Here is an 11,791-nt window from a genome sequence, read left to right on the forward strand (position 1 = left end):
TCCCTCTCTAAAGACACTACCTTTTAAAGGGAGGCAGACAACACCATCAACTTCATACAGCACACATACTGGTCTATAAACATCATGTAACCAGAGGCATAAAATAGGGGTGCTACAGAAGGGTCTCTAAACGCCATGCTCCTTGGTTTCCTCCTTCCTACCAGGGTTAGACACACACTGGAACTCAAACATTAAAGTCCTACATTGCTTGTCTCTGAAGGCATTGCACTATACAAAAGCCAAGGTGAATGAATATTTTTTTTGATATTGGAAGCAGTTTAAAAGAAAAACATTATGTCACTTACTTAAAAAAAATATCTAAATTCCCTTGGATAACAACTCTAAGCATAAGACCACCATGTCTTCAGGAAATACCTTCTCTCGGAGACTCCTGCATTGGCTCAGCAGAGGACGGAAGGGAAAGGGAAGGAAATCCACGGTGAATAGAAAATCATTACCACCTTCTTTAAAGCAGGAAATGCCTCTGGTAAATTTAAAACATGCTTCTCTTTCCTCTCCGAACACAGATTTGCATATGTCTTCCCAGGAGCTCTTCTCTCTAAGACTGGGTTCTTTCAAATTCAGACTCTCAGACAGGACTTAGGATCCCAGGAAGCAAGGGAGGGAGGAGAGGAGTGAGTGGGGGAGAGGAAGGCAGCCAGTGGCACGTGAACAAGGAGGTGACCCCTCCCGGGGCCCCTCTGAGTTGACCATGGAGGGAAGGCCTACACACTTCGGCTGGTATCTAACAACTCCCACCCTCGGGTTGAGGGCTGCTCCTAGAGCCTTACTCCTTTGCATCTCCAACCTCTCCATGCTAGGCCAGAGAATCCCCTAGAGGAGAGATCCTGTGCAGTGGGTGGGGTCTGGCTGTGGGTACCCCAGGGGTGGGCCAGGTGGTGGGGAGCAGGCACACAGCGTCTGCAGTGCCCACTTCCCCAACAAGTGGACTCCCCAACCCTGCTGAGTTGTCCAAGGAATCACCCTTCACACTCCTCCCTCAGTGAGTCCCTACACCCAGCATGTTGCCAGCTTCTGTCTTCCGGCTGCTTCTCCTTTTCCATCACCATCACAGGCCCAAAGCATCTCCTCATCTATATCACAATAATTTCCTCCTCTCTGTCTTCCAAACCTCACACCTTCCCTTTCCCCATCACGTTTATACCATGGGTGCATCTTTCTTACACATGTTTCATATCTGTTTTCTCAAAAGTACACATCCAAACCCCTCCACCTGCCTTTAAGACCCTCCTGGAGTTGGATCCACATCAACAGCCAGCTTTCCCCCACTCCTTCTGCTCAGCACCCACATTCGCCAGGCCAGGCGCCTCCTGCAAGGGCCAGACACACGTGGATGTCTTGGCTCATTCTCGACCCCACTGTGGGAACCATGACTCTGCTCTTTCTTCTTCGTATGGTCTTTCTTCTTCTATATGGCCTTGGGTAAATTAACTGGAGAAACTAAGTTGCAGAGAATTGTATCTGCAAAATAGGCAAGCTCTGCAGGGTGACGAAAACACTGAAACAAGGTTCTATGCAAGCAGTGCAGGACTACCCAAGGGGCAGCAGGGCTCTGGAAGCCCTGGTCCCTTCTCTGAACTTGGCCACCCCACAGCCACAGAAATAGCCTTTTCCTCTCAACTTGTAAAAATCCCACCAATCTTATTCCTCCAAGAAGCCGTTCCTCCCTCACACTAAATCAAGCTCACACTGACCTCAGACTTCTCTAAGTTCTTGTTTTAGTCATGGTCAGTAAGGCATTTAACTTTCCTTTGGCAATTTCATGGGTGTTGACTTGTTCTTTGTTCATCAACTCACTCCCCATAGAGCCTGTGTCTGATATGTGGTGTGTCTCCCTGCAGACTCCAGTGGAGTGCCCTATGGAGGGGCCTCAGTCAAGCTGGGCTGAGGGGCTGGTTGAAGTGGGCCCGCTCTTGCATTGCTCTTTGGCTTTGTTTTTTTAAAGGGCCTAAGAAGTGTCTGCTAACCTCCAATAATTAACCTTCTGAAGTAAGAGAACTGGGGCTTATCCTAATATTCCTATGACTGGGGAAATCTATGATGATAACAGCTACTTCTTGACTCACTGCTCTTTTGCAAATTATAGGGAAATCACTTTCTAAGACACTTTAAAAAGAAACAAGAAAAATAAGTTCTGCTAGGTGGAATGTGCACTTTGACACCACAATTCAGCACCCAAAAGTAGACATGTAAGAGATGTTGATGTCTGCAGGTCTTGGCGGAGGATGTCAGAGGATAAATCATGAGCAAATAGGAGCTTTCTTGGAACTCTGTTGGATCAGCAGTTCACAGAGAGGGGGTTGCCCAGGGCTTCTACAGACTCTCCACAGACACCACATGAAGACCAGCCTCAGAGGGGCTGCCCGTGCCGGTGCCTAACAGGAGAAGAGTTAGGGAGGTAGAGGCAAGTGCAGAGTCCTCCTCTGCACCACACGTGTGAGGCTGAAGACTGGAAGTTGCACTGATTCTCTTGTGGACTGACCCTCATGGTTTAGGACACAGGTGGCAACCCAGGGCCCATGGACCGAGTGTGGTCAGCCATGCTTTGTTTCATCTTTTAGTTCAAATGTGTAGACATTGTTCAAACATTGCTAGATTTCTCATAAATACTCATACTTGACTTCTCTCAAAAGCTCGGCAGAGGTTAGGGCTTGGAAACACACTCAGGAGCCAGACGGCCTGGGGTGACATTCCAGGGCGACCAAACCCCAGATGTGCAATTTCAGGTGACTTCCTCAGGCTGTCTATGCTTGCCTTACAGACAGCATGAAGATCATAAAAATACTTACCTTACAGTGTCGCCGTGTCCAGCCAATGAATTCATATGCATAAAGGACGTAGAACAGGGCCTACGACATAAAAAGCCTCATCTATGTGTGAGCTACGATTTATTATATTTTTTTCTGACAAGGTAGATCAACATTCCTACTTGGGAAACATTTTTAAAGCCCCAGATTCTGCCTCCTTTAGATGAACCGTGTTCTTCCCTCCCCAACACGGTGTCTACCACTCCTGCCATACCCAGCCAGGGCCACCTATCAGCGTTTCTCTCCCAACCATTGTAGGCTATGGAATACGCTACCCCAAACGTTACAGGTAAGGCTGAAGGTGGCACCGTACAATGTGACTCTGGTGGGAATATCACACCAGGTATTGGTCAGCAACCCAGTGGGTTAAAGAACAAGGCGTGGTGGAAATGGAGGTGACAGGGGCAGTGACATGAACTAGTGCAGACACAGGCAGGGAGGAGGCAGAGCCTGGCAGAGAGAGAGGCAGGTGGTAGCAGAGGTCAGGGAGAAAGGCAACCTGAGCCTTTGCGATATCATCCCAGGCTGGGTAGAGAAGGCAGCAGGCGGTGGAAACGTAGGGGGCCAGTTCAGAGATCTGAGAATCAGGAAGAGGAGGCACCAAGAGAGAGAAGGGCCAGCCCACGGGCAACCCGGCACCAGGGAATGACGCACAAGGCCCACAACTCAGCCCCGAAGACACGTAGGAATAAATCAACAGGAGAAGGTCAGGCCCCAGTGTTTTGACCACTGATCACAGAGCAGGGACAGCCTGCCATCCCCCTGGTTTTATGGTCCCTCCTCCCGGGATAAGCTGGCCGAGAGCGAAGGCCAGAGGAGGCCACCACGCCGATACGGGCTGTGCGCTGGGGCCGCAGACTCAGGACTAAGGTTTATGAAGATTTATAAAAGCGTGCCTACCTAGCAGACACCACACAGATTAATTCAGGCATCTAAGCGATTTCTTAATCAGCCACAAGCAATTCCCAGGTCTGAAGCACTTATTTCTTCTGAAACACAGCAACAATTCCAGCCAATGCTTTTTTTTTTCTAAATGGAACAACGAGCAAATACAATTGCTATTCAAGTCCTGGGGCTAAATAGTGGTTACCAAAATAATTGACCCTACTTAGAGCACATAAGAAAGTCATAGAAATTGCAGGCGATTTTGTGTTCAGTGGAAAAGCAGGATTCCTATTCCCCCTGACTTTTGGTTTCACCCACACTCCATGAAGTTTCTAACTAGGTGAAGGAGGATAGTCTCTCCAATAAACCTTTTCTAATTGAAAATCATTACCAACCTGCTTTCTTCTAAGACAAACGGCTCTGGTGCTAAGATCTCCTGCCCCTTCTTCAATCATGTCTTTCTGCAGCGTCGCTGCCAGGGCCAGGTCAAAGGAGAACAACAATGGTGGATTTGACTTCAAGGACCCACTTACAATTCCCTCTCTGACAAAAATAACTTCTTTCATGGGGAATTTGAGAATCTGAAAATTGGCGAACCTTCTCTGTGGGAGACCAGCACAAAGCGAGGGCATCTCATGAAGGCCCTTTCTTCTAAGGGCCATAAAACCCAAGAAACACCTTTGGATGTTTCTGCCCCCACCTTAGAGCTGTTCTTTAGGCAATCACAAGAAAAGGACTTTGTCTCCGAGAACAAGGCATCTCTCCTTCCGTATCTATTGTATTTGGCCCCTGCACACACCTGTCAGGATGTTGACAATATTTCCAGTGAGGTGTTTTCCTAATGCATTCCCTCCCCTGGAAGGAACCCTCTCCTTGACATCTGTGACAGCCCCATAGGTGAATCATTTCGTGAAACAGGGCCTTCAACGTGAAGCTTTCACTCTGATCCTGACCTCACTTAATTGTCTATGTCTTCAAACGTCCAGGTTGCACTGGGGCCACAGTGGCACGTGAAGGCCCCCCGTGGGCAGCTGGGGCAGCAGGTTATTCTGCAAGCTGTGTACTTTCCACAAGTTCCTTTGCCTCCTGGGAACTAAATTCAAGATGGTGGTGAGCAATTCAAACCCCCAGACAATTTGGATCTTGGCAGCCTCAGCAGTGAGTTCTTTACCTGGTAATTTAATGGCAATTTTCTATCCCCTAGAGAAGCCTGGCTGTGGATGGAGGCACAAGTCTGTACCTAGCCCATGGCCAACCTGACTTGAGAGAAAATAGGCACTTCTGGTCACCTGCTGTCATCACCTTCTAGTCCACTGACTGTGTTGACTTCCCCCGGCCCCTGTGCCAGCTCACCTGTGTCCCCTGGAATTCCTAATGCTGAAATTCACCAGAGCCCTGTCCTTAGTGCTCTGGTGTCTACGCTCTTGGCCTTCTAATCCCATTTCAATGGGTTTAAATGCCATCTAAAGGCCAGTGACTTCCAAATCTCTCTCTCTAGCCCAGACATTTCTCCTGAATTCTAGGTTAATTTAGCCCATTGCCTACCCTCCATGGCCATTGGAATATCTAATTGATTTGCAAACTGAAGGTGTCCAACCTGAACCTGCTCCTCACACAGACTTTCCTAAGTTGAAAGAAATTCAATTATTTAAGTTGCACAGGGAAAAAAATAATAACCTGTGCATAATCTTTGGCTCCTGTCTTTCTCTTGCCCTTCCTTAAATCCACAAACAAATCAGGTTGACTCTGTTTCAATGTGTATCCAAGGATCCAATCCCATCTCACCATCTACCCTTCCAACACCCTGGGTGCATCTCCAGCCCTCTCTCTGGGCTTGCTGCTGTTGCCTTCTCACTGCCTTCCCTGCTTGCATGTTCATCCCCATCCCCAGTCTAGATTCAGCACAATAGGTGGTTAAAGCGACCCTTTTAATACCTATTTCGCTCCACAGCTCTACTCCACTCAAAACCTTCCAATGGCTTCCCATTTCATTCAGGAAAAAAAAAAACAAATAATCCAAAATCTTCACAATGACAAAAAAAAAAAGAAAAGAAAAAGAAAAACCCTGCTTGCTATGAACTCCCATCACTTTCTAGGCCATCTTCCGTCCCTCTGCCCTCTCTCCCCGAGCTCCCTCCACACCAGGATCCTTGGGTCCTAGGACACATCAAGGACACTCCTGCTGGGGCGTCTGGGCTGGCTCTTTCTGCTGCCTGGAAGGCCCCTCCTTTCTCTATCCCCAGCTAGATACTCATGTGCTCACCTCCCTTTCCTCCGTCAAGTTTCTCTGCATCAGTTAGCACCTCACAGAGACCTCTACGACCATCCTACTGTCAACGTGCTGTCACACTCCTCAGCCCCTTTCCTGACTCAATTTCCTATCTCCATTGACCCAACACCTTCTGGCACTCTACAGCATATGTATTTATGGCCTTTATTATTCACCAACTGTCTCCCTTAGCGAGAATCCAAGTGCCCCATGTCCTTCTCATGTGGGATACATCCCAAGCACCCAGAAGATGTGATACCAAGTGGGTGGTTACCAGAGGTTTGTTAACTGAGTTAACATTTTTCATTCTTTTTTCACTTGTAAGTTCAGGTAAACTTGTGTTCTAGGGGTTTGTTGCACAGATTATTTGGTCACCCAGATGTTAAGCCTAGAACCCATTCATTACTTTCCTAATTTCTTAATTTCTTGCTTATGCCTACCACACTGCTAAAAATGAACTCGATGGTTTGTGTCCAAAGCCTCACTTCAATATTTTCAAAAGTATGACTTCTGTTGTTTATTTTGTAACAAGAGGATGGGAGGCAGTTTATTCGTGTCAGAGAGGATAGGCCCCAGTGTGTGTTGTTCCCCTCTTTGTGTCCATGTGTTTTCATCATTGAGCTCCCACTTATAGGTAAGAACATGCAGTATTTGGTTTTCTGTTCCTGCATTAGTTTGCTAAGGATAATAGCTTCTAGCTCCATTCATGTCCATGCAAAGGACATGATCTTGTTCTTCTTTATGGCTGCATAGTATTCCATGGTATATATATACCACATTTTCTTTATCATTCTTTACAAGTTCACTTCTCCTTCCACCTTGGTCTGTGAGTCCTGTGAGGAAAGAAAGGGGTCTTAAACTGTGTCTCTGCCTTTAGTAAAGGGTGTAGTTCAGAGCAGGCAGTCAGAGTTTGATAAACAAGTGAACAAATAAACAAAGAAACTAACATGCATATGCTATCTCCAGCACTGATATCATCCTCTTCTTCTCTTGCATAAACTATTCTGCCCCTCATCCTCTCATTTCAAAAGAACAACAGAAGTCATACATTTTTCAAATATTGAACTGAGGTTTTGGACACAAACATTGAATCCGTTTTTAGTACAGTGATAAGTACGAGCAGGGAATGAAAAATAGACCACTACACTGGAGTTCTACCATAGGGTCTTACTTTTTGGTGGTTTGCTATTTTGCAATGTGTTATGTGTTTTGGGCTGAACTGTGTCTCCCTCAAAATTCATATGTTGATGTCCTAATTCCTGCTACCTCAGAACACAATTGTATTCGGAGATAGGGCCTTCAAAGATATAAGTTAAAATGGGCCCACTTCAAGAGAAACCAACACTACTGACGCCTTGACCTCAGACTTCCAGCCTCTTAAACTGAGAGAGAATAAATTTCTGTTGTATAGGCCACCTAGTCTATGGTATTTGGTTATGACAGCCCTGGCAAATGATACACAGTGGTGATCCCAGCAGAGCATGAGATTTCAAAAATCACACCTTCAATTATTGATTGTTCAGAAATCAGAAGGGTTCCCTTTTGCCTTTCTGGTGATACCGTCATGAAGAAGACAGATTCATGCTAATAAAGGACATCCCATCATGCCAAACCCTGGTAAAAGTTCCAAACACAGAGGCTATTTCCATTCTATAGCAGATCATTTGTTTCAGTCACCATTTCTACCATAAAATGGTTTTATCATAAATGGCCATTTCTCCTCATAATTAATCATTAGATAATATTTTGTACTGTACTGAGTTCTAAATTTTATTTATTTATTCTTTCATTCATTACTTATTTACTTTTCATAGAGAAGCCTAGCACACTTTTTGAGTTAAATTCCTGACCTTTATATGACCCTTGCCAACTATTCAAACACAAGAGGCAATTTTAAAAAAATTGTTATGAATCAATTTAACAGAAATCCAAAAATTCTCTTCTTTCTTCGTCCTAGCCACTGAAGAAATACCAGAATGACATATAAATTGAAAATCATTTCCCACTTGCAAGCATATCTTAAATTGATATGGCCAAGAATATTCCTTGTAATTGTTAAATTAGTTTAGATATTCTTGATGTATTGTTCTTTGCATGAAAATCACCCATCATTCTTCTTTGGCTATTTGCCTTTTTTGCAGGAAGAGAGAAAGTTCCACAGGACACTCCAAAGAACGTCTTCAGCAGATGCGGTCTAAAGCATCTCACCACTTTCTGGCTGGTCTCACAACTCAGGTTTCCTCTTACTGCAGCAAACACTTCACACCCAAAGCACAACATTAAGATTTGCTACTGGAGTCTTAAAGTACCGGAGAGAGAATGAATTTTCCTTAAAGGAAAATCAAGATAAATAATTATGCTTTTTGTGGGTAGACCTCCTACAAAACCTCCTCAAAGGCCCAATATCTGCAGCTTCCCCCACTGGCAGGCACGCAGGTATATGAAGCAGCGTTGACTAAATGTCAAGGCAACCCGCAAACATTGTAAAAACCTAATAAATCATCTCCTGATTAATTTTAGCTGAGAGCACTGAATCATATTAGGCTCAACTTAAATGTTAGAAGGAAACTAGAATCATTCGAAAGAAACCCAGCTCTACAGATTGTTTCCCATTTAAAAACTATGTTATCAAAGACTGCATTCTAAATACCTTTTTTCATGGCTGCATCAGTTCAATAAATGCTAACCAATCTCAAGTGGTCTGCTGCCATACTCCGTGACATAAGGGTTAAAACAGAAAAGTCACATTTCCAAAATTCTCTGTTTGTTAAGCTTATCTAAAGAGTATCTATTATTTTTTGAAATAGGCCATGGGTTTATATTTTTTAAGCAATTTGATTCTGAGAGATTTTTATTTATTGAATTAAATGAAGTTTACATCAAATGTTTCATGCAAGTCATAATTAAATTTGTTTCCTCTTTTGTACTCCAAAGCACTTTTGCATGAGCTATTAGTATCTTAGTCGTGTATCTTTATGGGGGATGTTTGGTTATCAAACCCCAGTGGGACCAGAGCAGTGTTTTACAAGCCAACAATGCCTCTGATTGGCACCTCTACCACACCATTGTCAAATGTTTAGAATTTCATCCCTGTATATACACACACAATACATATAATATAATTACTTCTTTCTTACAAGGAATTTTATTTATTGAATTGCAATTTCATTGTCTACCTCAAAGAGCATATTTGTGTTTGTTGGATTCATTTACTCATAGAACTAGACTTCTCATGGATGGTCTGGCAGCCAGCAGTAGTTTTCTGGCTACAATGCTAGACATGTCACATCTCCAGATGAGGGGTATAAGAATTATGCCAAAGGGTACCATCTCCACACTCTGTACTGAGATAGATTATGCTCTAGGCCATTAGGTAATGGTATGGCAGAGTTCTTTTGTGAACTGGGAACCCTAGTGAAAGCAGAGTTATCAAGTATATCAAATTAAAAAGTAGTATTTTTACTCAAACCAGGTGAGTTTGGGCAGAAAGGCCTTGATAGCAAGTGGACCAAGCTTCATTATGGAATTAAAGATGAGCAAAGAATCTACGATGTTTTCACATCCTCTTGGCCTTCTAACACTCAAGAGTAATTTAACCAAAGGAGTTTCCAAATCCTGAGGGATATTCTTGCAATTAAGGAGGTAGGGGAGGAATGGACACCTAATTTTGACATCTAATTACTTGGGGCATGAGGACACACTGTGAAACCCATACTGTATGCCTCTGGGGAAAGGGGGTTATTTCACTGTAAATAATAAGTTTATGGTTTCCTGCAAAGCAACCCTGAAAGTGCCAACTAACTAAATTTTCATGCTTACTTCAAAAACTAATGCTGCCCCATTTCTTTTCTTTTTCATAGACTTTTTTCTATTACCCTGATTCTTCATAATATAATATAAGTATGGATATATATTTACATGTAGTTCAAGAAGAATTGTAAACATCCTTTGTATTAATTACATATTTAATGGTATTCTTAGAGTCTGTGAATCCCTGCCTAGATTCTTAGTTTTTTTTTAATTGGATTTCACTGGCAATCTACCCGTTCTTTAATTCAAATCCCATCTCTTCTCCACACCCAACCACATAGGCTCTAGCATTATCGTGTAAATGTTAGACATTTTTCTTAAGCACAGTTCTAAAGGGCTTCAGTAGAATCACACTGTCCAGATTGCATAGTTCTGGTAAGCAATGTTCACCTTCAAACAGGAAGAAGTCCCCGAAGTTTAAAGTTTATCAAGTCAGGGTAGAAGTTATTGCTTCATAAAAGCAGAATAGAACTGTCATTATCAATGGAGCATTTCACTCAGGTTTAATTATAGAGCAATAATTCAAATGTTTATTTGAAGAAAAAGATGGATAATAGTAAACTTTATAATCCACTAGCTGTTAAAATCTAATTGTCATTTGACTGTCTTGCCTTATAGTACCTATTGTGATGGAATTTTTATGAATATTGCCAAAATAGTTCAAAATAAAATGTAGAACTCCATTAGATTATCCAAGTGATCTTTTATTGGAAATTGTGAGCAGAGCAAAAGTGACTTGTTATTATAGTGTTTACGAAAGAGGAAAAATAGTTATTAACAATTGATGTTCATTCAGCCCTTATACTGTGCCTAGCACTGTTCTAAAACACTTGAAATTTATTATTTCGTTAAACCCTCTTAAGAATCATATAAGGTGGGTGTTCTTTTTATTCCCTTTTCATAGTTAATGAGAAAAGGAACAGAACAGATATAACTTGCCCAAGCTCACATAGCAGGAAAGTGATGGGAAAATGACTTAGACTCAGGCTGTTTAATCCCATATCCTGCATTCCAACCACTGCATGACATTTCATCAGAAACCACCTGAGCACAGGAGGCACTGCCTGTGAGCCTGTGCTGAGATCTGGAAGCCAGCAATCCTCGTTTTCCTTTCTCTGACTCCAAATCAGGTACTTCAGGATAGGTTCTTCCAACCAGTAGTGGAAGGGAGAAAAAAACTTTCTCCTTGGTAAAACAATATACAATATGTTTTATCTCTCAAAAATATTGCTCTCTAACAGCAAAGTAGATTCAAAAATAAGAGTTTGCATAAGTAGTATATAAAACAATGAGGATTCTACATCATGTCATTTCTTTTTATTAATTTATTAATTATATGTTTTGTTTTTATGAGAATGTTTTAATGAGAACTCTGGACATGGTAGAAACAGAGGCTACTTTTTTGAGTAGCAGTGACTTGATCAATTAGTTTGTGATATTGACAAAGAAATAAGATGACATTATTAAATATACGTTGGCCAATGAAAGTGTAGTCATAATATAGAAATTGGGGGAGCAAGGCTTTAACCATACAATTTATAGGAGCACCTTGATAGCATTGATCTTTTATACTTATACTGAATTAATATTATTCTAGTCTCAGACAATAAGCCAGAGTGCTCAAAGTTTCTCAGAACAGTTTAGAAGCATGCTTTAGTTAACCTGCATTGGCCATTGGTTATGGTTATCAGCAAATGGACAGAGAATGACTAAGTCATAGATTACCTTTCAAAGAGTCAAATCTGCGAGTTCCACCCTAAATCAGCACCAAGGGATGCCAGAACAAAAGCATTAATATCGATACTTTGTGCCCACAAACATCAAGTATTCATTGACGATACACACTGCATGCCAATAACCTCTACAAGTATTTACTGATTTAATGTTCACATCAGTCCTGCAAGGAAGATACCACTACCCCCCACTGTGCAGATTTATACATGCCTTTATTCAACAACTTTTCCTTCCTTCACAAGCGTCATGCAGTTATGTCACTTGT

This window comes from Homo sapiens, chromosome 18, assembly GCF_000001405.40.
Source record: "Homo sapiens chromosome 18, GRCh38.p14 Primary Assembly".
Lineage (NCBI taxonomy): Eukaryota > Metazoa > Chordata > Mammalia > Primates > Hominidae > Homo > Homo sapiens.